The 26,533-nt window shown below is 34.0% G+C and overlaps 2 protein-coding genes and 1 long non-coding RNA gene across 4 annotated transcripts in view; 1 reads left to right on the top strand and 2 right to left on the bottom strand.

The window, feature by feature from the left end:
• LOC124903278 (uncharacterized) overlaps window positions 1–26,533 on the top strand; it is a 46,274-nt gene that overhangs the window by 3,203 nt on the left and 16,538 nt on the right. The window contains exon 2 of the long non-coding RNA XR_007064055.1: window positions 1,691–1,807. This is a non-coding gene — a long non-coding RNA (uncharacterized LOC124903278). The remainder of the gene's footprint in view (window positions 1–1,690; window positions 1,808–26,533) is intronic.
• Window positions 8,775–25,269, bottom strand: OR4K1 (olfactory receptor family 4 subfamily K member 1). 2 transcript variants are annotated; one of them, XM_011537153.3, is made up of 3 exons: window positions 25,220–25,269; window positions 14,387–14,488; window positions 8,775–9,884 (listed from the first exon to the last, which is right to left on the bottom strand). In XM_011537153.3, exon 3 carries the CDS (start codon window positions 9,863–9,865, stop codon window positions 8,930–8,932), a length of 936 nt encoding a protein of 311 aa, XP_011535455.1. In that variant the 5' UTR covers window positions 9,866–9,884; window positions 14,387–14,488; window positions 25,220–25,269; the 3' UTR covers window positions 8,775–8,929. The 2 variants fall into 2 exon arrangements, with proteins under 2 accessions (XP_011535455.1, NP_001004063.2); NM_001004063.3 differs by lacking the exon at window positions 25,220–25,269 and having other exon boundaries at window positions 14,387–14,615.
• On the bottom strand, window positions 23,954–24,925 carry OR4K5 (olfactory receptor family 4 subfamily K member 5). The gene has a single exon (NM_001005483.1). The coding sequence runs from the start codon at window positions 24,923–24,925 to the stop codon at window positions 23,954–23,956; it is 972 nt and encodes a 323-aa protein (NP_001005483.1).

Below are 26,533 nucleotides of genomic sequence, written 5' to 3'. Positions count from 1 at the left end.
ATAGAATCAGGGTATTCAGCATATTCATTATCTAAAACATTGATCATTAGTTTGTGGTAAGGACTTTTAAAATCCTCTCCTCTAATTATTTTGAGATATGCAATATTAACTATAGTCACCCTGCAGCCAATAGAACAAATAAGTACTTGGGTGATGAAATTATTTTGTGCAATAAACTCCCATGACACAAGTTTATCTATGTAACAAACTTGCACATGTACCTCTGAGCTTAAAATAAAAGTTACTAAAAAAAAGAAATGCTACCGATATTTTTGGTTGATGCTGTATCCTGCAACTTTACTGAATTTATTTATCACTTCTTAGAGCTTTTTGGTTGAACCTTTATATAAAATCTATGTATAAAATCATGTCAACTGCAAATAGAAACAATTTGACTTCCTTCTTTCCAATTTAGATCCCTTTTATTTATTTCTCTTGCCTACTTTCTCTGGCTAGGAATTTAGTACTATGTTGAATAAAAGTGGTGAAAATTGGCATCTGTGTCTTGTTTCAGATCTTAGAGGAAAAGCTTTCAACTTTTCTCCAGTTAGCGTAATTTGTCATTTTTGGCCTTTATTGTGTTGAGGTACATTTTGTTGAGAGTTTTAATCAAACAGCATTGAATATTGTCAAATACTTTTTCTGTTTATCAAAGTGATAGATTAGCTTTTGTCCTTGATCCTGTTAATGTGATATATCACATTTATTGTATAATGTAGGTTGTATTATCTAGAATGAATCCCATTTGATCATGGTGAATGCTCTTTTTAATGTGCTGTTGAATTTGGTTTGCTAGTATTTTCTTAAGGATTTTTGCATCTATTTTTATCAGAGATATTGTCCCGTAGTTCATATTTTGTTGTGTCCTTGACTGGTTTTTGTATCAGAGTTATGCCAGCATTGTAGAATGAGATTGGACAAATTCTCTCATCTTCAATTATTTTGAAATAGTTTGAAAAGTATTGATAACATCTTTTAAATGTTTGGTAGATTTCAGCAGTGAAGCCATCATATCTGGAGGTTTTCTTTGATGGGAGACTTTTTATTATAGATTCTATGTTGTTACTCACTATTGGTCTCTTCAGATTTTCTACTTTTTCATAATTCAATTTTGGTAGGTTGTATATGTATACGTTGGCATGTAGTTGTTCATAATAGTCTCTTATAATCCTTTGTATTGCTGTTACATCAGTTTTAATGTATACTTTTTTATGTCTGATTTTATTTGAACTTTCCCTCCATTTTTCTAAGTTAATCTAACTAAAGGTTTGTTTCTGTTCAAGGATTTCTGTATTGTTTTAGTCACTATTCCACTTATATCCACTCTCATTTATTTCTTTTTTCTACTAATTTTGTGTTTGTTCTTGTTGTTCTAGTTCCTTGAGGTATGATGTTATACTGTTTATTTGAGATTTTTTGTCTTTTATGGTGTAGGTGTTTATTGCTATAAACTTCCCTCTTGGAACTGCTTTTGCTGTATTCCATAAGTTTTCATATACTGTGTTTCCAATTTCATTTGTCTCATGAAGTGTTTGAATTTTCTTTTTAACTTATTCATTAATCCATTTGTTATACAGGAGCATGTTGTTAAATTTACATGTATTTAAATGGTTTCTAAAGTTTTACTGTTAGTGATTTCTAGTTTTATTCCATCATGGTCAAAAGAGATACTTGATTTTGATTTTTGCAGATTTGCTGAGGTTTGTTTTGTGGCCTAACATCTGATCTACCCTGAAGACACTTCCATGTGCTGATGAGGAGAATGCATACTCTTCAGCTGTTGAGTGGGATGTTCTGTGACTATCTGGTAGGTCCACATGATCTAGAGTGCGCTTTGTATTTGTTGTTTTTTTGGCTGAATTTTTGTCTAGATGATCTGTCCTTTGCCGAAAGTGAGATATTGAAGTCCTCTATTATTATTGCATTGGAGTCTATCTCTCCCTTTACATCTAATAGTATTTGCTTTATATGTCTGGGTATTCTGGTTTGAGATTCATATATATTTGTAGTTGTATATCCCCTTACTGAATTGACCCCTTCATCATTATATCATGACCATCTTTGTCTCATTTTACAGTTTTTGACTTAAAGTCCATTTTATCTGATCTAAGTATAGCTACTCTTGCTCTCTTTTGACTTCCATTTGCATGGCATATAATTTTTTCTTCTTTATTTTTAGTCAGTATGTGTCCTTACAGGTGAAGTGAGTCTCCTGTAAGCAGATATAGTTGTATGTTTTTAAAATGCATTCAGCCATCTTTTAATTACAGAATTTAATACATTTATATTGAAAGTTATATTGATAGGTACGGATTTACTATTGCCATTTTGTTCATTGTTTTCTGGTTATTTTGTAGGTCTTTGTTTCTTTCTTCCTCTCTTGTGTTTACTTTTGTGGTTTCATGGTTTTATTCCATTCTTTTTTTCATTTGCATATATGCTGTAACTTTTTTCTTTGTTGTTACTCTGGGGCTTACATAAAAAATCTTATAGTTCTAAAGGTTTATTTTAAGCTAATAACAATTTAACTTTGATTGCCTGCAAATATTCTAGACTTTGACCCTCCAACCCAATTTATAATTTTGTTGTCTTAATTCACATCTTTTGTATGGCTTATTTCTTAAAAACTTATTGTAGCTATGGTTATTGTTGACCATTTTGACTTTTAACCTTCATACTGTATACACCACTACAATAATGTAGCACTCTGAATTTAATTATGAGTTTACTTCTACCCGTGAGTTTAAATACTTTCATGGTAGTAATTAACATCCTTTCACCTCATGGTGGCAATTAACATCCTTTGAAACCGTCTTTTAAGCATTTCTTGTACGGCTGTTCTAGTGGTGATGAATTCCCTCAGCTTTTGCTTGTCTGGGAAAGACTTTACTTCTCCTTCATATTTAAAGAATAACTTTTGAGAAGTGTCTGTTCATATCCTTCGCCCACTCTTTGATGGGGTTTTTTGCTTTTTTCTTGTAAATTTGAGTTCGTTGTAGATTCTGGTACCCTAAAACTTAAAGTATAATAATAATAAAATTTAAAAAAAAGAATAACTTTGATGAGTATACTGTTCTTGACTAGAAGTTTTATTTTTTTCTCTCGGCACTTTGAGTATATTGTTCCATTCTCTCCTGGCCTGCAAGGTTAAGAAATATGCTGAGAAATATGCTGATAGTCTAAAGCAGCAAGATACAGCCATGATGTCCCATACGGGGGGATTTCCTCATAAGAAAATGTCTTAGGCTGCAGGAGTTTGTGATGCTGCTCTGTTAGCTTGGGTACAATCACTGGGCATGAGTGCCTGTTCCTTGGGGAACAGGGTGCCACATGGGCTCAGGTACTAAGGTTACAGCTGTTCTGTTGGTCCTAGGCTCTGAGTAGACAGAGCCAAGATACTGCAGTCACTGGGATGGAAAGATGGAGTGCCTCCTTGGCAGTTTGTTTCCATGGGGTTAGAAGTTGTAGCTGCTCAGCTGCAGAATGGTGTGCTGCCATTAGTAGGTGTGGTGTAGTGGCAGTGAAGCCTAGGGTATGGGAAGATACAGTGGCTATAGACCCCCAAATGAGAAGGCACCCTAGCAGTGGCTTCAGTCTCAAGATGCCATTACACAGCAGCAGCTTGGATAATAGGGCAGGAGGAGACACAATGTGGGCTCCTTGTTTGGAGTAACATAGTCATGTGAACTCCAGGCAACTCCTCAGGCTGGGCCTAGGACCTGTGAGGACTACAGTGATCTCCATGAGCAAAGATTGTGGGTGTCCACATTTTAATTTGTATTGCTGAGGGCCTCCTGCATACCTTTTCTCTGTAAGGAGAGTCCGCCCTGGCTCTGACCTCATCCCACTAGGAGAGACAAGATGGTAAAGGCAGAGTGTTCCATTCCCTTTTTTATATGGCCATCCTGAGTCTCCATGATCCACAGGGTCTCTGCCATTTCCCTGTTTTACTCCAGGGCTCTCCTTCATATATTTTAGTTGAAAAGTGGTTATTTGTTTGTTGTTTTGGTCCTTTTGTGTGGTGGCCGGGGAGGAGGTTGAGTGTTAGGCACTTCTAGTCAGCTATATTGTTGGCGTCGCTTCCTCTTGCATCTTCTTGATTTAAGATTTCTTTAGGATCCCAGAGTCTTCTGCATCCTCTTGGCAGACAAAGGACTAAAGAGTTAAGGCAGACTTAATTATTACGAACTTAGTCAAATTATTTCTTTTTGTGGTAAGAATATGATATTTTATTGGTAAGAATAGGACATATGGACTTACTTAGAAGAAAGGTAACTAAGAATTATAGTTCCGGAAGGGGAGCTGTTTTCCAGTAACAGCTCTAAACTCTAGAAAAGGAAGTAAGAAAATTGATGGATACTTAGTTCCCTTTAATTTACCCTGTCTCCTATAATCTGAGCTTTTAATTTCTCCAGTGTAGTGGTTATCTCATCATCCTTTGCAGATAGTTGCCTTTGTAAGTAGATTTCTGTACTAGGGAGAACTTCACGTTTCTTCTTTGTCTACTAACATACTTCAGACCTCAGATTTTTCTTACCTGCTCTTAAGTCTTTATCAAAGCAATTTAGACTCTATAGCTATTTGTTTAACCTGCCTTTTCCACTAGGACTGGGATATTTTTCATTTTTCTCATCATTAAATTCCCAGTAGTTAGCAGAAATTCTGGATAGAATAAAAACTTTATTAATATTTGTTGAAGAAATTCATACCTCATTTAAGCCTGTTCTTTATGCATTTAATGTTTAGCAAACTCTTTACTGAGGTGTAACAGAAACATAAAAAAATCACAAATCATAAGTGAATGTATAGTTTGATGAATTGATGAATTACCATATGTATTTCTTTCCTATAGTAACAAATTACTACACAATTGGTGGCTCATAAGAAAAGAAGTTTATTTTCTCTTAGTTATGGAGGACAGAAATTCAAAATCAGTATCACTGGATCAAAATCAAGATGTTAACAGAGCCACACTCCTTTTAGAAACTCTGGAGAAAAATCTGTTTCTTGCCATTTCCAGCTTCTGGTGTCTGTGAGGACCTGCATTTTCACTCTCGTCTTTAATGGTGATTGATAGTGTATTTTAATGAAGTCTAGTTTGTCATTTTTTCTTTTTTTTCTTGTATTACTTTATTGTTTCTTTGCATGAGTCTTGTTTCCCAGTTTGGTAGAGGGTTCTTAAAATGTAGGTTCATACTTTGTATATCCTCCAAGTGCCCAGACCATCCAAGCCACAGAGCTGTTGTATGTGCGTGCACTCTCCCTCTGCTCTCTTTCTCTCTCTCTCTCCACACACACTCACACACACACACGCACTATTACCAATCATAGATTTACCAGATGTCTGCTTTTAAGAGCTTTAATTTCAAGTCTTTGTATGTCCAATATAGACTCTGTTAAGTTTAAAGTTATTTGTGTCATATTTAAGAAATCCTTGCATATATAAAAGTCATGAAAACATTCTCCTATATCATATTCTAAAAGCTTTATTTTTATTTATATAGAAATATATATTATTTTGAATTATTTTTGTGAATTTAGAGCCAAGCTTTTTTGTTGTTGTTTGTTAAAGGTAAGAGTACAATTGCCAAGCTTCATATTTTTGTTTCTTCTCTTCATTATCCTATTTCTCATAGATCAGGTGACTATGTACTTGCTTTTTGTTCCCAGAATCTCTAGTGTGTTTCACTAACATGTTTCTTTTTTCTTTACCAATACAAGATTTCAATATGTAGTCTTTTGTTTAACTTTTATTTTTATTTCACGGGCATATGTGCAGGTTTGTTTTATAGGTAAATTACATGTCACAGATGTTTGTTATACAGATAATTCTGTTACCCAGGTAATAACCATAGTACTCAACAGGTGGTTTTTGGATTTTCCCTCTTCTCCCACCTTTCTCTCTGTAGTAGGCCCCAGTGTCTATTATTTTCTTTTTTGTGTCCATTCATACTCAGTGTTTAGCTCCCACTTGTGACTACATGTGGTATTTGGTTTTTTGTTTCTGTGTTACTTTGCTTAGGATAATGGCCTTCAGCTTCATCTCTGTTGCTGAAAAGGGCATGATCTCATTCTTTTTATGGCTGCATTGTATTCCATTGTGTATATGTACCATGTTTTCTTCATCCAGTCTGCCATTTATGGGCATCTAGGTTAATTTCATGTCTTTGGAAATGCAAAGAGGCAAGAATAGTCAAGGAAGTTTCAATGGACGACATACTCTACCATATATGAAGACTTCTTGTGTCTTCTTTCAAATTTGAAGAAAGTCTTGATATACGTAATGTATGTCTTCCTTCAAAATATCTTTGGATATTCTTGCCTCTTTGTATTTCCATATAAATTTTAGAATCAGCATGTCAATTTGCTCAAATATATTATTAGAAATTTGATTGAGATTGCATTAAATCTATGGATCAATTTGGGAAAAATTAACCATTATCAAACAACATTGCTAAATGCACTAGTTAACTTTAATAGCTTAAAATATTTTCTACATATATACAGAAAAAATATTTTTCTAAAAATATGTTTTTTCTAAGCACATACTTTATTGCTATTTTGTCTCAAATTGTCTGGAATCTTCAGCACATTGAATAGAAATCATGATAATAACATTTTCTGTCTCATTCTCAATCTTAAAGGAAATATATTTTAATTGTGATATATATAGTCTCCAGAATTGTGACATAATAAATCTTTTTTTTAGCCACCCATTTTGTAGAAATTTGTTATGGCTGCCCTAGGAAACTAATACAACATCCAAACATTGAAATCCAAATCTATTCTTTCCATGTCTTTTTTACTTCGGGAGTAAGAAATCAATTTTCTTTCTCATTTCCATAGTACATTTTCTCCACTATGACATTCATCAAAACCTAGATTGTATTTTAATTATTCATGTTTAATTAATTTCTGCCGTATCTGATGCTAAGATTTTGATGGAAAGGATTAATATTTGTATAATTCTAATAGTGTATTTTGTACACAGCATACATTTATTTGTTATTGAATATATTTAATTTGGTTTCTAAGTTGGTGCTAATAAATGATCACTGCAAAATTCTAAATTTAGACTTGCACATTTTAATAAGGGAAAACAAAGAGTGCGCCCAAGCATCATCAGTTTTGTTTACCTGACAGGCAGAAGGAGCAAAAGGCTGCCTTCACAGAATTCATACTCATCCAGGTGCCTGCAGAATTACCTTTTCAAAAGTAATAACACTAAAGCTATTTGTATGTTTCATGCTTCATAAAGTGCCTTTATTTCCATTATATCCTCTTGTGTCACATAGTTCCTGCAAAATAGCTATTTTTAACAACTTTATTTTACATATGAGAATTAGAGCAGTGAAATGACCTCATTGGTGAAGTATACATTCAACACCTTTTCACTTCCACTGTAGTGAGGAGAAAATAATACTACCAAAAATATCATCAATGCTTTCATGTTTATTGTGTGTCCAAAATGTTTTGGCACCATATAAAAAATATAACAGGTAGTCAAGTTTAACAGGTCATTATGTTTGACAGTGTACAAATGAAGTTAACCAAAAATAATCTGAAGCTCAAAAAAATAAAAAACCAGCTAAATAATATGATGATTTAACAGGACTGTGTGCCTATATCTAAAATTTTACTTCCACTAGGATTTAGCATGCAGAGTTAATATCTGTACACATAGCCACTAACATAACTCTTATAATTAAAATAGGAATCTAGAGTGATGACAATCACAGGCTTTATATTTTCCATTAAGTAGTTCTTTATCTCATTGTTATTATAGAATACAATTAGTCTTCCTATTACAAGGACTTTTCGTAATGCAAATCTCAGGGAGAAGTACATAAGAAAACTTTTAGCTGGAAAATGAAACAATACTTAACAGATGCTTTTAATCACTAGTATTAGAGGTACATAAATTTTACTTTTCTCTCTTCTGTTTTCAAACAAATATGAAAGAACAAATTTCACTTTGGATTTTCAGTAGCAAATGATTTGTGTCATTCTGTACATTTGTATGCGTTAGATACTTTACTTTTTCTTTGAACTTAAATATTCAACATCTGCCATATTTGCAAACAGTTTCAAAGATATTTGAAATTTTCTGTGAATAATGTGGAATTCATTATAGCCAATTTATTCTACTTTAAAAATAAGTAGGCTTCTGACAAATATATATTATATATTTTTATATATATTATATATTTTTTATATATATTATATATATTTTATATATATATATACACACACACATATATATATATGTTGTTGATGGCACCAAATACCTAGAAAATTTTGTAAAAAGCAAAAATTTATGTCAAATAATCTAAAGGAAAACAGAAAAAAATAGGAATAAAATAGTAAATAGGGAAAACTATAAATACACAAATATATAATAACCAAATTATAAATTACTAAAATAATACATAAGATAAAGAAAAGCTAAAAATATATAACAGTAAGGTGAAATCCATGTTGTAAAATGTGATACTTTTTCTACTATGTCAATGTATGTTGTAATGTTATGAATAAATTGGGTAAAGATATCAGAAATTCAGTATGACTGTACATTTTGATTGTCAGGTCTAAATTTATGATGTATTCAATTGAAGAGAATCACAAGCTTAGTAACATGAATAACATTTTATGCACATTGGAATCTCTAAATCTTTATAAAATATTTTAAAATATTACTAAATATTTTCAAGACAATTTGTACTTTTGAATTATAAACAATGAAAAAATAGTTAACATTATATTTAAATAGAACCAGAGACTGACTTGATGCAATTCCCTTGCACTTAAAACAAAAAGCCAATTCTGTAACTCAATAACCCATATGTCTGGCAAAGATGGTTGGCATGACACTATGATACACTGGAGGGTCTTCATTCTAATTCAGGATTATGCTCCTTCGTAATGATCCCTAGTTTTTCCAGGAGTTCACATGACGGTTTCTCAGCTTCCACATGGCTGCTTTAACATCTTCATTCCTCAGAGAGTAGATGATGGGGTTCAACAAGGGAGTACAAACAGTGTAGAACACAGAAAGAAATTTGTCCACAGGAAGTCTGCTAAAAGGCCATATATAGAAATAAATGCAAGGCCCGAAGAAAAGAATGACCACTGTGATGTGGGCAGTTAATGTAGAAAGAGCCTTAGATGACCCACTGGAGGACCTGCATCGGACACCGATCAAAATGATGGTGTAGGAAATAATTAAAGCCAGGAAACAGCTCAATGATATCAGGCCACTGTTCGTTAGGGTCATAATTTCCATTTCATATGTATCCATGCAAGCCAGCTCTATCACCAAGGGAAGGTCACAAAAGAAGCTATCCACCTCATTGGGACCACAGAATGGCAGGTCCACTGTAAAAGCCAAGTGGCTCACAGAATGAAGAACGCCCACCGCCCAGGAAATAGACACAAAAATTACACAGAGCCTCCGGTTCATAATTGTACTGTAGTGCAGAGGCTTACATATGGCTATAAATCTGTCATATGCCATAGCTACAAGCAACATCATCTCACTCCCAACAAAACTGTGAAGAACGAATATCTGGGCCATGCAACCCTCAAAGGAGATAGTCTTGCGCTCAATAAAAAAGTCTACAAGCATCTTGGGGGTGGCAAAGTTAGACTGACAGATATCAATGAAAGAAAGATTACTGAGCAAGAAGTACATAGGAGAGTTCAAATGGGAGTCAAAAGAAATAATGACAATAATTAAGACATTGCCTAGCACTGATGTCACATAGACTATAGAGAAGATGGCAAAAAAGAAAAGTTGAAGTCCCCAGGAATTAGAGAGTCCCAAAAGTACAAACTCAGACACCATCGATTCATTTGTGTGAGCCATGTATCCAATATTCAGTTACCTAAAAAAAAGAAATCAGAAAAATGTCACAATGATTGGCATTACAATACCTCTAGTTTATAAACAAAAGAAATATAGTCAATTCTAAACAAAAGAAATAGTCAATTTAATTAGGTTACATATATTTACGTATGTAAATACTCAGTTGACTAATATTTAACATCCATGACTGCTATGAAAGTTGAAAGAGTGTGAAAAAGAGGATTAGATATGAATCCCTGTCATAATTAGAAAAAACTACACATACTAAAGAAATGAAAATATAAAATCAGAAACAGGAAAGTATAAGTGAAATACATGAATAGTATAAATGTTAATAAGATTAAAGAGATTATGCCAAAGTGGTAAGATAAGTTTTAGCTCGAATAATTTCTATTTGTGCTAAAACTTCTCTAAAGTTTGAAATTTGCTAGCCAAAAGTGAAGGAAAAGTCTTTTATTTCAAGTGAAATGAATAACATGAATAAAGAATCAAAGGTAAAAATATAAAGATGTACTTCATTCAGGAAACTGTTAGTTGAGTGGCCTGGCTGGAGAGTGTGCTAAGAAACAATAAAAATTAAATTAACGAATGGTAGATCAGGAGCAAATCGTGAATGCAATTAGCCTTAAGCACAAGACTAAATGGAACTGAGAGTCATAATGTTCTTGGAAGTATTTTAAGAAACAAAAGAAGCGGCCAGGCACGGTGGGTCATGCCTGTAATCCCAGCACTTTGAGAGGCCAAGGCAGGTGGATCACCTGAGGTCAGGAGTTCAAGATCAGCCTGACCAACATGGTGAAACCCCGTCTCTACTAAAAATACAAAAAAATTAGCCGGGCGTGGTGGTGGGCACCTGTATTCCCCCCTACTTGGGAGGCTGAGGCAGGAGAATTGCTTGAACCTGGGAGGCGGAGGTTGCAGTGAGCCGAGATCACACCACTGCACTCCTGCCTGGGCAACAAGAGTGAAACTCTGTCTCAAAAAAAAAAAATGTTAAAAGAAGAAAAAAGAAAAGAAAATGATAGAAACAATTTGCTATAATAGAGAAGGAAGAGCCAATGGTTACACTCTGAAAATTTCTCTGAAGGTCAAGAACACTTCCTTTCAACCTTTTAACAAATAGTTAATCAAAGTTCACCTTCTGTCACATAGAAAGCAATTAACAATAAATGAAACAATAACCAACAACATGTTTTCAGTCTCTTTCTTCTGACTGTGTTTTATCTTTCTATACACACCTGACAAACTTGAATTTGTCAAAATCTCTAACACCTTTCAGGAATGGTCCTTTAAGAAATATCTCATATAGTTCATTTCAAAGGCATAAGACATTCTCAGAAAAGTTAACTAGTAAGTAAATTTGCTCTTAAATGTTTTTTGACATTTTGCTTAATACATGTGGCCACTTGGTCACAGAGAAAACCCTACACACCCTTCCTGAAGTGGTTCAGGAAACATTTTTGACCTTAGCTCTGTGTATCCAACAGTACACAACAGATATTTATTTGTCCTTATACTAACTGAAGCTCTGCACCCCTCCATGTTCTTCAGTGGTTTGTTAGAACCAGGTTATTTAGACATGACCAAAATAATAAATATTTTATATTTTAAAAGTTAAAATTGTATAGGTAATGGTAAACCAAATTAAAAAGTGTTTAAACTGTTTTCAAGCTTTCATTATGTAGTTTTAACCTGGATGTTGGAGCACTATATCCTACACTTTCAGGGCTTTCCGTGTTTGCATTGGTTATGAAGAATTGAATTGGTTTTAAGAAGAATGCAGGCCGGGCATGGTGGCTCATGCCTGTAATCCCAGCACTTTGGGAGGCCGAGGTGGGCAGATCACGAGGTCAGGAGTTCAAGACCTGCCTGGCAATCATGGTGAAACCCCGTCTCTACTAAAAATACAAAATTAGTGTGGTGGCACACACTTGTAGTCCCAGCTACTCGGGAGGCTGAGGCAGGAGAATCGCTTGAACCTGAGGGGTGGAGGTTGCAGTGAGCCAAGATCATTCCACTGCACTCCAGCCTGGGTGATGGAGTGAGACTCCATCTCAAAAAAAAAAGAATGCAGAAACCTAAGTTACTCAAGAATGTAAACAGATCAACGAGGCATGAACTGACCTAACTACAAGTTTCCATGATGGGATCTCATTTCCATGTGGAAGATTTGGGGCAATGCTGGCATCTCTAATCATGTGTGTACATGAGCAGGGGAAACGAGGAAGCAAAGAAACATTGAAAAAGAAAGATATTCCCATTCCTAAGAGTAAAAAAATTCCTAAAGAGCTATAGTTATGAATTTAAAAAGATAAAATTTGACACCATGAGGAACTGCTTATAGCATTTGACTCATTGTGGAAAGCCTATTAAATGCAGTTATTTAATGGAATAAAAAATTATTTATTTTCATAGGTTATTAAGCAAAAAAAAAATCCTTTACACAGAGCATGCAAATAAATTTAGATTATACTTCTATTGGTATAGAATATATACCAGTTCATTATACTGTAATAATAATGAACCATTATAATTACAGTAAAAAAACTCCATAATTGAAATGTCATTTGTGATAAGATTTGCCACTTAAATGAATCACACAGTATTTTGTACATACATCTATTACAGCAAATATTAGAATACATGCTTTATATAAAAATAATAATATTTATAAGTGCTATAAATATATATTTATAAGTGTTATAAATATTATTATTTTTATATAAAGCACATTTTCTAATATTTGCTATAATAGATGTATGTGCAAAATACTGTGTGATTCATTTAAGTGGCAAATCTTATCACAAATGACATTTTTCTATGTTTTAAGCAGTCCCCTAAGCATATGGCATGCATTTGTACTCATTTAATGCTCAAAATAATCTTACAAAGTAGCTACCATTCAAATATGCATTTTATAATTGAAGGAACTCAGGCACAGAGAAGCTTAGGCTAAGTAAATTGCCCAAGTTTATACTACTAGTAAGTTGTATACTTGTAGTAATGACTCCTACAGTAGACTAGGAGATGCTTTTGGACAAACAAAGCTAAATCTTATGAGTGATAGAACAGTGGTGGGGCTCTAAAGTGGGACAGTCTTGGATTTAGTCTCAGCTCCTAAAATTTCTAATGGAATGAACAGTTCCTTGACTTTTCTCAACTCCTTTTCTAACATGTGAAATGGCGATGTCACTTGTTACATTTCAGAGTGGAACGTAATAGGCATTTACACGGGAGTGGAGATTGAAAGAGATGAAAAAGGGTGCTCAAGAAGACAAAGGGGGAGAAAGAGGGAGAAGAGAAGGAGCAAGAGGAGGAGGAGGAGGAGGAGGAAGAAAAAAGGAAAAGGAGAAGGAGAAGGAAGAAGAAAGAGAATGAAACATGATTAACAAAAAATTGTTAAATAATGTTAGTGGAATTATTCCTTTTTCAAAAATCATCTTATCTTTGAAAAATATACTTTTGAAAATATCCAAATTTCCCACAAATTATATCTTTTCAATATCTAATAAATGATAAGGTTTTTAGTCTTAATTTTTCAAAATATAGGAAACAACTAGAAATTCCTCTCCAAACTAACTTCCTATGATTTTTTAAATGCAAGTAGAACAGATCAGGTTCAACATTATATCTCATTTTCTTCTTAATAATTAAGGTAGTTACCCAATAGTATAGACAAATAACATTTGCTACTTGCTGGCTGTGTGACTGAACTTAAAAGATAGAACTGGATTATCTCTAAAGCTAGTTTCATCTCTAAAATTCTAAGTGCAGAGGCAGTTATGGAAACACATGGAGTTTATAAAAGTTAGCATTCCTTCAGCAGTCCACAGAGCACCCAGAAGCTTCTTCATTATTGAATCATTCATTCTGTCATTGCCACTATACCTCAGAGATAGGAGTGTTTTCAGATCCCAAAATACACCATAAGAAAATTTCCCTATTCTTGGTGTAAAGCCAAGTTGGATATGAAAGGGTTGCTGTTGCATTAATATCTACTATACAATGTGTCAATGGAACTCTGAAATCATAAGCATGAATAATTTTTTCTTGTTTTTATTTTAATGTATAATACTTGATTACCTATAAGCCTAGAAGCAAACAATAAAGGATATACTACTGACCATTACTCTACTGTGTATAGCTACACTTTTCTTCATTTGAGGCAAATTTTGGTAGTCAATAAACATTTGTTAAACTAATGGCTACAGAGTCACTGAACAGAAAGCATAAATGGGTCAGAGAAGGGACAGATAATGGTTGTAACATATGTTCCTCTGTTTATCAGATTCTGATCCTCTTCTTACCAGGGTTGCCCAGAAGCAGTGCAGTGGAAGAATGATATAGACAGAGAAGTGGAGAACAGGAATATTCTTCTTCCAGAGGGAGTTTTCAATTTGTCTGAGACAGCAATAACTTCCACTTTGCTATCTTCTAGTTGCTGTTTTTGCATCTATAAGAGATCTCATTAATTATTTCTCCAGTGCAACAATATGTTCACAATGAATGTATAATACTTACACTTTGAAAAAGTTGTCCAAGTCTTTCACTTCTTCCTTATTTTCCCAGTTTGGTGTCCTCTGGTTTGTTTCCATTTCCCACTTTCTGCTATGAGTCTTCATACTGAAAATATTTGTAATATAATCTTAACTTGATGCATTTTAACTTGGTTCCCTACACTATGCCGTATGGAAGGAAGCCTCTCAGGTCCTCAGGTCCTGTCCTGATGTAGTGAGGGCTCTGATCACCTTGCACTCAACCGAGCAATTACAATAACTTAAGGCAATACAATATAAAGCCTTTCAACCTCATTCTAGAAAACTGATTTCATTGGTGAAGCAAGAAAACACCCTTTAGAGATCTGAGGTCACTTTCCAGTGGGAGTAATTATGTTTTACAAAATAATTTTCCAGAAATGGAAAAGAAAAAAAGGTTTGTTTGTTTGTTCGCCAACTAGTGTATACATATGAAAGCAAAAGATTACTTGATTTTAACTGAGTATCAGTCAGCAAAGGAAGTATTCAGGTATTCAACTCCTAACTCTCTGTTAATAAAACAATCACACAATCTTAAAAATTATCACCTCGCCTCAGGGTGTTTCCTCCAATCACAAGGAGCCCACTGCTTCATAAGACAGTTCAGTCTGTGCTCCACTGTTTCTACCATTTGTAATTTAAAGAGTAAATCTATTAGCACTTCAGTATTATGTTTCTTCAAATATTTAAAGAGGCTCTCATTTATTCCCTATATAAATTTCTTTCCCAAAATACATCAACAGTCTTTTTCAACTATATTTTATATAAGTTTTCTAGATCTCCACAGGTTCTGATGTAAGTTTCAAGTGGTCATCTTTAAGTAAAAAAATTGAAGGTAAGATTCCCTATTACTTAGTGTTTCTATCTTCCTATCTATCCTGTGTGCATGTGTACACCTTAGTAAAACATTCACATATATAAGCATTTGAGCACAATGGCACATATTGCAGCACTGGCTGAAGGAGAGATACTGGAAAAAACCTAAGTACATATATATATATAAATTTGAGAGTGGGGAAATATAATATTTTAGTGTGATGAAATACATTCAATAATTAAAATTGTTAAATAATATTTTGTACATGAATATGTATGGTTAAAAACATAATGTTGAGGGAAAAAAAGTTAAAGATTGTAAAATTATGTTCGAACTTTTATAAACCAAATCAATGGACACACTTATGAATTAAAGTTTTAAAATATCCAGACTACAAAGAAAAATTCAAAAGCATAAAGCCTAATTTAGCATCTTAAGGGAGATATACAATGACAAACAGACAGTTAAGGGACTATCACAATAGTAAAATAATGTTAGATTTCAGCAGCAATGATTCAGGGAAGACCCAGTGTCAACAAGCATTTGTTTTTACCAGACAAGCATAATCTTGACTGTTTTTCGTGCTGTCTGGCTTCTAATGGTTCTGCTCATTTTATGAGGCTGCTTCTCTAAATGTACTATCAAATATGCAGATAATGCCAAATCCTCCTAATAATTCCATTTTGCTCAGGATGATTAGAAATCATTTCTTTTGATTGCATAAAATAACCATTATTAAAATAGCCTACAAAGATTACTAGGAGATAAATTGTGTGACAGTAGACAAGAAATATTTGCAAGAGAAAAATAACCAGAAGTAACTTTACCAAAAAAAATAAGAAAAGCTCCAAGGTGAAATATTTTGGTCCATGCTCTCTGTCTCTGTCTCTCTCTCTCTCCCCCCATACGCACACACACACACACACACACACACACACACACACACACACACACAGAGTGTGATATGTATAAAATGCACATATTATATTATTTTAATTATATATATCTATATATAAAAAATAAATGAAACAGAATAGTATCCAGAAATATAACCAAATATATATGTATAAACTATATAATAATATTTATAATAATTTAAAGAAATGTAGATTACTATATAAATGAAATTCATGGGAAAAAGTAAATTTCTATCTGCATACAGTTATAAAAGCAAAATAAATTTTAATTGGATCAAAGATTAAGTTTTAAAAATTAGAAAAAAGCACGTGAAGATTTTTTTATAATCTTGGAGTTGGTAAGGCCTCTAAAGCATGATGTTAAAGAAGCCATAAATATATGGCTATGTAATGGATAGAATTGATTGACTTAATCATTTTTAGATTTGATATATCAAAAAAACCCACAATCAACATTAAATAAAAAAGCAAACTATAAAATATGTGCAACATATATGACCAATGAGACTAATTCCTTGTAAATCAAAATATTATTAGTAATTAAAATAAAGAAATATCAATAAGTAGAAAAATGAGCAGATGCACAAGGAGTTCAAAAGAACAGAAATACTCTGCAACTCTATGACAATAATAAGACATCTTTACCTTACAGATTGAAAAAATGTCAACATAATTTGGAGTAATTTGGGGAGAAAATATGTTAATTATTTGTCAATGAAAATCTAAATAGAAACATACATTTTATACTTAGTAAACATACTTAAAGTAGAAAACAGGTAACATTTTAATTTAAGAGGCAAAAAATATGCCCAATTAAAAATAAAAACCCTATTTATTATTTAGAGAAATGTAAAATAAACAAATAGGAATTTTAAAAAAAAGCTTTCTATTGTCAGTTAAATTGGCAAAGGTGGCAAAGACAAGACATGAATTAGCGACACATTGGAGAAAGATAAACATAATTGAAGTCACAGAAGAAGAGAGCACAAGACTAAAACAATAGCTGAAGAGATCCTGGCTAAAAGCTTTCCATAACTGAAGTATAGTTCTAGCCATAGAAGCAAGACATTCAATAAACCACTAGCAATAAATAAATAAATAAATAAAATAAATAAATAAGCAAGATCATAGTAAATCCTAGAATTGTTGGGACAGGAACCACAAAATCCATAAGTGGATCAATGGGAATGATGCAGAGAGAGTCCAATCTATGCCTTGTCTATTCCTTGTTATCTGATTGTGAGTATTTTAGCTACTGGTGACACAAAATTGCAAATTAACTGTCATTTCAACAAATATATTACATTTTGGAGTTCACCATCTCAAAAAATGTGAGTATAATCTCAACAACAGACTTTTATCTGAGGCTTTTAAAGGTCATTCCAATCTTGTTTGTGGCTGGAAGCTTCCCAGAAAAATGGATCCATGATATGTCTCTATTGTCACACCTCTTCACTGTAAATTCAATAAATTCCAGTTTCTTCACTGTAAATACTTTTGTCTATAATTCCAGAGACAATCTCTGTGGAATCCTATATCCATATGTCAAACACTCTGTGTGCCCTGGAATTGTGTCTGGGGAGAAGGACTACAGGTAGAGAGGGAAAACTCACATCAGGAATAGGAATGAATTCCAATAAAGACAAATCACTACCCCCCCTTCAGAGGAAGGGGTGTGATACAGTTGATTTGCCACCAAATGGATGTGGTCTTTCTGCAGAATGGCACCATAACAAGGTTGCAGCATGACTCCCTTCTGCCAACAGACCAAGCATTCAGGAGCTGTAGCAGTGGTATGAGACTAACCTTGATAAAAGAGAGTCCATGTTTTTGGTCCCTGATAGGCATTGTTGTAAAGTACAAAAATCTACACACTTAGAGCCCACTCACATACGTTCATCCTCATTCTTCCCTCCCAGACTACTTTCCTCCAATTTTCAATTTTGATCTTCAAGACCCCTAACAAGCTAGCAAAGCCATTTTTCAAAGCCCACAAATTCATGTTTATTTTTACTTATGACCAATTCTCCATCTAAATCTGATAACTAAGTGCAATGTTTATGGCTCTGGCCAATGAGAGAATTCTTCCTCCTGAGTGTCCATGAAGGTCATCTGAGTGAGTAGTAATGCAGCAGCAGTCCCATTTTTTGGCTTGCACCAAGGCATAGAATGAAGTCATCCGTAGAAACTCTCTCATGAGGCCATAATATTGAGCTTAAGAAAATATATTAATGCCACAGAAATACTTGATAAGGGATTTAGACTATCTGTTCATACCAATTCCTAGTGCCTTTATACCTGCTTCAGCGTGGTCCTACACATGCCATTTCCAATGTGTGATGGCTTGCTGCTGTGGCAGCTAGAAATTATGATTTAATAAATCTGATAACAGTTCATGATGAGCAGTGCTTTTCATGTAGGCAGTCACTTGGAAATCAATGGTCAGGTACTTAGTCCCTGATAAGACCCAACAGCATACTAAGATCTATTTTTAAATAGTAAGCAGTTGGCTTCTGCAGAGCTTTTTTTCTGGAATCCTAAAAGTATTGTTATTTATCTAATTGACTTTTGTAAATAATCTACACAATGTCCTTATTTATCATGGATATCTCCATTTCATTGGATTTCTGGTCGACATAGCCTGAATGGCTGGGCAGTTTGCACTGAAGACCAGAGTTAGTACGGGGACCCACTGAAAACTGGAAATACTATGAATCAACCTAAAATTGATCTAAAGTAGTATTTATGAAGCAGTTTTTATGCTGCCTATAACATTCAATGATCTTGAGAGAACTGTGCCTCTTTCTCAGTGGTAAAGAATATAAAACAAAATAATGTGTATTTTATGTAATGAGAGGATAGTCTAGCCTGCCCTAGCGTATTGGACTCAACACCTAAATGATTTAGCAGAATTCTGAAAATATCTAAGGGTTATTGCTAACCTTCTTGTATGTCACTTCCTACTCACAGGTCTAATCAGTGCATGCCTTCAATGTGTGACTAAAATGATGTTCTATAGATTATCATGACCATTAAGTTCCCTCAGGACAATATTATGACAGAGAGTAAAAGAGTTTGAAAAAGCTGAACAAACTATAAATGTTCAGAAAGTTATGGTGTAAGAAATGTGACTTTTTAAGGGTGAGAACTCCATCACAAGACAAAGACGAGAGGTTTTCTACAACTTTTTGTTGACATGTTGGTAGTTTTATTATATCCTTCATGTACTCAATATGAGGTTAAATCTATTTGAATTTCAAGATATTGCAAATACAACATATAATATGGCAAGGATCTTCTCCATGGAAAAGTATTTATGATGAAATGTAGATTTGTTTAAAAAGTAAAACACCTATGGTGAAATACTGGATCTTGGCTCTGCTGACAGATCCATTCCACCCACACCCCACCTTTATGTTCCTCTAAAGACCACCCTGAAGTGCCTTTGCAATCACCTACTCTGTTTTTTCCTGGAGGACTCTGTTACTCTGCATTCCTGGAAAGTGTACCTCTGATACTTTCCTCCTTGTCCTGTGACTAACTTGACTCATACTATTGCCAGTTGTCTCTATTTAGTCAATGGAACTAAAGCTTCTTCATCCTTTATCCCGTTGGCCTTTTGGGGTACTCTCCCCACGAGCCATGACACCGTCTCTCTGTAAAGTCTGAGGCATCACATCAGCTCTTTCGAACAGCTTCTGTGCTGGGCATTGTCTGAAGGACTGTTCCTTGTCAGAAGGACTGCTCATCAACTTAGTTCATAAGCATAGCAGAAGTAGCTTAAATTGTGAGATCTCAGGAAACAAATAAAAGTCTGCCCTGGGTTTGGTAGCATCCCTTCTTACTTTTTAAAATATTCAGATTATCAAAAGCAATTTAGGAATATATTCATCTACCATAAACAAATCCCCTAATAAGGTAGAGTTTGGCTTAGCCAGGGAGAAATATGTTAATTAACTCATTGTATGGGTTATCGTGAAGAAGAAGCCATATAATACAGAGCCTGTGTGAACCAAAAAGGTAGTTTTTTTTTTCTTTTCTTTATTCTGAGAGAAATAGCTGAAAATTAAAAGACTGAAGAGATTGGTGACTTGATCAAAAGCTAAGTAATCTGTTCAATGTCAAAAATAGTAATATAATCAATGTTCAAATCCCAGTTTTTGACAGCCAACTCAAGACACTTTCCTTTACACTTTTTCAATTGACTAGAGTTATTTCCACATTTACTAAAATGTTCACTTCTTCTGCCATTTTATTCAGTTAATGATATTTCTCTGTCAATTTGTCAGCAGTGCAGGGAAAGTCTATAGGATCTGTAAACCAGAGGAAAAAAAAAGAATTTTTAATACTATCCTATTACTTTGAAATGTGTGTATTAAAAAGTTGATTACCAAGTTATATTAATAGTTGCTTTATTTTTTTATTTATTTTTCTATTTTTTATATTTTAAACAAAATTTAAGGTGGGATTCTACAGTACATAATATCACAATCCTAACCGAAATACGATGCTATGTGCCTTTAATAGTTTCCCTTAAATAAGAATTAATTAAATTAGAAATTCATTGCTCTTAGCATTAGGAATGTCCCTTGTTTTTATTGGAACTAGAGTAATTTGAAAAATTTGTGGAAATAGTGCTGCAATAAACATACATGTGCATGTGTCTTTAGAATAGAATGATTTATATTCCTTTGGGTATATAACCAGTAATGGGTTTGCTGGGTCAAATGGTATTTCTGGCTCTAGATCTTTGAGGAATAGCTACACCGTCTTCCACGATGATTGAACTAATTTACACTCTCACCAACAGTGTAAAAGCATTCCTATTTCTCCACAGTTTCACCAGCATCTAATGCAAATCAAAACCACAATGAAATACCATCTCACACCAGTCAGGATGGCGATTATTAAAAAGTCAAGAAATAAATTTGAGTTTACCAAATGATAGCATTCACTTTATAAATGCTATCTTTTTTTTTTTTTTTTTTTTTTTTTTTGATACGGAGTTTTGCTCTTGTTGCCCAGGCTGGAGTGCAATGGCGCGATCTCGGCTCACCACAACCTCCGCCTCCCAAGTTCAAGCGATTCTCCTGCCTCAGCCTCCCGAGTAGCTGGGACTATAGGCATGTGCCACCATGCCCGGCTAATTTTGTATTTTTAGTAGAGAGGGGTTTTCTCTATGTTGGTCAGGCTGGTCTTGAATTCCTGACCTCAGGTTATCCGCCCACTTCGGCCTCCCAAAGTGCTAGGATTACAGGCGTGAGCCACCGCACCCAGCCCTATCATTTTTTATATTTTCAAGCATGTCATAGATGAATTTCACTTTAGTGCATAAATAGATGAAGCTACTGACTTTTTTTTATTCAACTGGCTCCTGATTTCTCTCATTAACATATTTGATGAGATGCTTCTGATTTTTCGATACCTTCAAAATACTTAAAAGTATCTGTATCTGTCAGAGTCTAGTCAGGAGACAGAACCCACATGAGTAATTTGAACAGAGAATACTTAATATAAAGAATTAGCAACTGGTAATAGGAATTAGCTACTACAAGGAGAATAAAAAGTAACTCTAAAAAAATACCCTAAGAGAGAACTGACATCTTTTACCATACTGTTTTTCTATTTATTAATATAGTGTCTATCTTCACTTATTTAAGTTTGATTTACTAATACACTCTTCATTACTACCTTTTGTTAAATTTTATAATTTTCTCTAAATGCACATCTTTAAATTTGTACATAAGCTTAGAGTATTTGTTGTTTTGCAAGTTACATTTTTTACATAAATAATTGTAATTTTTTGTTGACATATTTTTTCTTTTTCAACATTTATTTGTAAAAGATGTCATTCTCTATAAGTTAATAAATATGTTATATACAATGAATATAATAAATATCTTTGTATGTCAATTAACACATGAATCCAATGCAATTACAACAAAATCCTGAAATAATATTTTAAGAAATCTGACGAGCTGGTTGTAAAATGTTTATAGAACATAAAGGGGATAAACTAACAAAGACACTGAAAAATAAGAGATGAGAGAACTTAATCTATCAGACATCAAGATTTATTTTAAAACTGTAGTAAATTAAAACAGCGTAATATGGGTGCAGGGCTAAACACATGCATTAACGAAACAGAATAGAGTCTAGTAACAAATCCATACATACACTGAAGCTGAAAATGTAAGAGAGGTAGTATTGCAAATTGAGGGAAATAATGAACAATTAAATAAATGACACCAAGTCTGATTTCTACATATTTACAAATATATAAAAATAGATGCCTAGCTCCCAAAATGTACAAAATGAGTTACAAAGCGATGAAATTCTTAAGTATAAAAAGCAATATATGTTTTAATTTACAGAAGAAAATCTAAATAATGTCTTTATGATCTTGACAGAGAGAAGGATTTCTTAAATCAGACACATACACACAAAAAAAGATACCAAAAATGATTCACAAATCCAACCACATTAAATTTTCTAAAAATTATTACAAAGGCCATTTGAACAGCTGATAAATTTTACAACACTCTTGAAATGAAAAAATAAAATAGAGTGATGGGGAACAGATCATTGGTTGCCAGGGTTAAGATCACAGGGGAGACAGCACAGGAAAGTTTCTTTGAAGTGACGGAAGAGGTCTATGTCCTTATTGTGGCTGTTGTGACTACATGAATCTATTTATGCAATGATATTTCATAATACTATAAAGCAATAGTAAAAAAAAAAAGAGTACATGTAAAAACTGATTAAATCTGAATCTGAATCGTCTTCAGTTTACTTTGAAAAAAAAAAATACCATAGGCCTAAAGGAGAGAAACCAAAGAAGAAATAAATGTGGAAGGGTGATGCCCTGCCCAAGGTTGAGTTTCAGAACTCTTTGGAGAGAATATGAGTGAGGCCCCCTAGATGGAGAGAGGTTCTCTGGGTTGCACTGGACCAGATCTAGTCCACAGAAGGTGAAGTGAAGATGGGGATCAGAGAATTTAAGGCCAAGGCTGGCAATAAAACTTGCTGGAGGATGAGTACCACTGGGTGCCTGAACATAAGCCACTGGCAGCTGCACTGTAGGAACAAGAAGAGAAGTGGCACAAACGAAAATCTTGGTGTTGAAATAGTTCAGCTTTCTAGATTCTCCTCTCTTTTCTGCAACTCATAATCTAAAAGGAAATTGGAATTATCTAGCCAATCAGAGGCAGCCCTTTAAATGAAAGGTTTAAAATGGAAGCTTCTGAGTATGTATCATTCCATATTTTAAAGCATTTTAGCTATTTGAAAACCGTATGGGATAGGCATAATTGATTTTTGGGGGGGGGAGTCTCATAACCTAATAATCTCCACTTGAACTTAAGCAGTTATATTAAATTGTAGTTTGGCTATTCCCTGAAGTTGGCAAAATTCAGTTTCAGATTCTTAAATACTATTCATCCACATAGAAGTTTTAGGCATGTTGTTAAGAAAACTCTTAAAACCTGACAAATGTTTGAATGTATGCCCACCAGAGAATTAGGTTCTCATTGATTTTTTTCTTGATATTTACATTTACCCCGTAACAAAAGCAGTAAATGCATACATATTATCCATCTAGTGCCCATATTTTATTTCTAGAACCAGTAATCTAAACAGAGATTTTTCCATGTTTTTATATTTAACTTTCACTTGATACCTAGAAAAAGACTTGTTAATATTCATTAAATGTTCTCTATATTATCTTCTTCACTACTTTCCCCACAATTGAGATACACCACAAAAATACATTAAAATATTAAACAGTGTATTGACCTGAGGAATTTGAAGGAGTTTTGTCTTAATGAAAGGAAGTTCTCACTACTAGTGACATTTCAGAAATTCTCCTTGGCCTCAGGTAATGGTTCACAATTTTCCTTACGGCAGCCTTCATATCCCTATTCCTTAGTGTATAAATAATGGGGTTTAGGACGGGGGTGAAAACAGTGTAAAATATGGCAAGAAATTTATCCAAAGGAGAGATGGTAAAGGGCCACACATAGATGAAGATGCAAGGTCCAAAGAATAATATTACTACTGCAATATGGGAAGCCAGCGTAGAAAATGCCTTTGCCATTGCAGCTGAAGACTTGAGCCAAACTGTAACAAGAATAATGATGTAGGAGCTGACCAAGAGAGAGAAAGTGCTTAGGGAAAGAATTCCACTATTGACCACAATTAGTATTTCAATGATGTAAGAGTCCAGGCAGGCAAGTTTGGTGACTCGAGGAAGATCACAAAAAAAGCTGTCTACTACATTAGGTCCACAAAAAGGCAGGTTCACAGTAAATGATAACTGGCTTAATGTGTGCACCAAGCTCACAGCCCAGGAGATCATTACCAAGACAGTGCATGTCCTTCGGCTCATGATGACCACATAGTATAAGGGTTTGCATATGGCTACATACCTGTCATAGGCCATCGAAACAAGTAGCACCATCTCCCCTCCAGTAAAAAGGTGAATAAAGAAAATTTGGGCTATGCAGCCACTGAAAGATATGGTCTCGTGTGCACTCAGAAAATCTGCAATCATTTTAGGGGTAGCAAAAGAAGCCTGACAAATGTCAACAAAGGAAAGGTTTCCCAAGAGAAAGTACATAGGGGAGTGCAGGCTGGTATCAGAAGTCACTGTGAGGATAATGAGAAGATTTCCCAGCACAATGACTGTATACAACACAGAGAAGAAACAAAAATAGAAAAGCTGGAGTTTTTGAGAACTACAGAGTCCCAACAGTACAAATTCAGACACCACTGAAGAATTGGACTTATCCATGGTTCCAAGCTGCAAACTTGTTCTGAAACAACTCTAAAGGAGGATAAATAGAAAGGAATCAGAATTTGAATTAAGAATACTTTTAAGGTGAGGGATTCTGAGATCTCAGATATAATGTGCATTTGCTGAATGCAAAAATTTTGAAGAGGCCATAATAGTATGTCTGGATAGGTGGATAATAGGAAAGAACTTATGTAAATGTCTAAATAATGCTTAATAATTTAATCAGTATAATTAGAACCCCTTGAGTTTTTGGATAGTCCTTGTCTTTTATACAGTAGGAAATGAGCTTACCCAGGAGCTGACTCATGACAACAAGACTAGAGGAGTGACCTAGAGTCCAGCTCCACAAGCCTCATAGGTTGACAAAAAGTGTTTACATTTGCTTGTCTTGTGGTCATCTTACATCATCAATTATACAACATTCTTAACTTTTGAAGAGATATTCATGGCTTGATTATTATTACATGATGTAAAGTCACACAGATTAACTTTTGGCCAATTATTTTATCTGAGCTTTAATTCCACACCTTAAAAAAGATGGGAGGTATAAAAATACCTACTTTACAGAAAACTTTAGAGTTTAAGCAGAATAACTCATGACATTCTACCATCAAAGTAATTGTATTGCAACATATGATCTTAATACATTAAACACCCTATATTAATAGAAATTTACCTTCGTGCTCCTGCAGGAGTCATTTACAATTAGGCAATTCCTGCTAAACAGATACTATTGAATGTATATTATACTGGCCTATAGTTCCAACTGAGTTTGTCAATTAGTTATCCAATAATTTCTTAAAACACATATTATGGCTTACCTGAATTATCTAAATCCTATTTTCTGTTGATTATCCAAGAGTGGAACCTAAATTTTTCATTTTCTTTGCCTATCAGAATTAGATTTCAGCCCACTTACATTCTCCCTGCTAGAGTTCTCCATGATCTTCTTAAAACATCTTTATAATTAATGCTGGAAAATGAAGTTTAAAAAAAATTTCTGGATAGAGAAGTAAAAATGATTATAAACCTCTCATGCTCTTGAAAATATCTAAAAATTTGCATCGTATGTTTTTCACCCTGTAAAGACATACCCCTACTGTATAAATCTAGTTCAGTTGAACTGGAAAAACTTTAAAGAAGTGCTGTTTTAGGAAACCATATTAGTTCTGACAATTAACTGTTGACAACAGTCATAGTAAGAGGCCTGAGAGAGTAATGATCTAATTCTAGTCCCATGTGAGAACATGAACATCTTTTTCTGCTAATTTATTTCATACAAGAAGCCAGAGTCTTTCCTTTGTCTCTAGGCTACAGACCTAGTCTCTCATTTAGATGAATGCAGTTGCAATCCACACCGGGAAGCCCCACAGTAAACAATCATATTGTGTACTCTATTGGAAGAAGGTTCAGAGAAGCATTCCACTGGGCCACATTTTGGATATACATTATTGTAAACTCTGGAACTACGGCAAACAAAAAGATGACTCATTATAATTGTTTAAAGCATTAGTAACAACAAATCAGTGTCTATAATATACAAGAAGGCAATAACTAAGAGGATTCTGAAATATGATGTAATCACTTTATGCCATGTGTGACTCA

Source organism: Homo sapiens, chromosome 14, assembly GCF_000001405.40.
Source record: "Homo sapiens chromosome 14, GRCh38.p14 Primary Assembly".
In the NCBI taxonomy this organism is placed as follows: domain Eukaryota; kingdom Metazoa; phylum Chordata; class Mammalia; order Primates; family Hominidae; genus Homo; species Homo sapiens.
The sequence above is the reverse complement of the archived record's forward strand: the minus strand, read 5'-3'. Positions and strand labels throughout refer to the sequence as shown.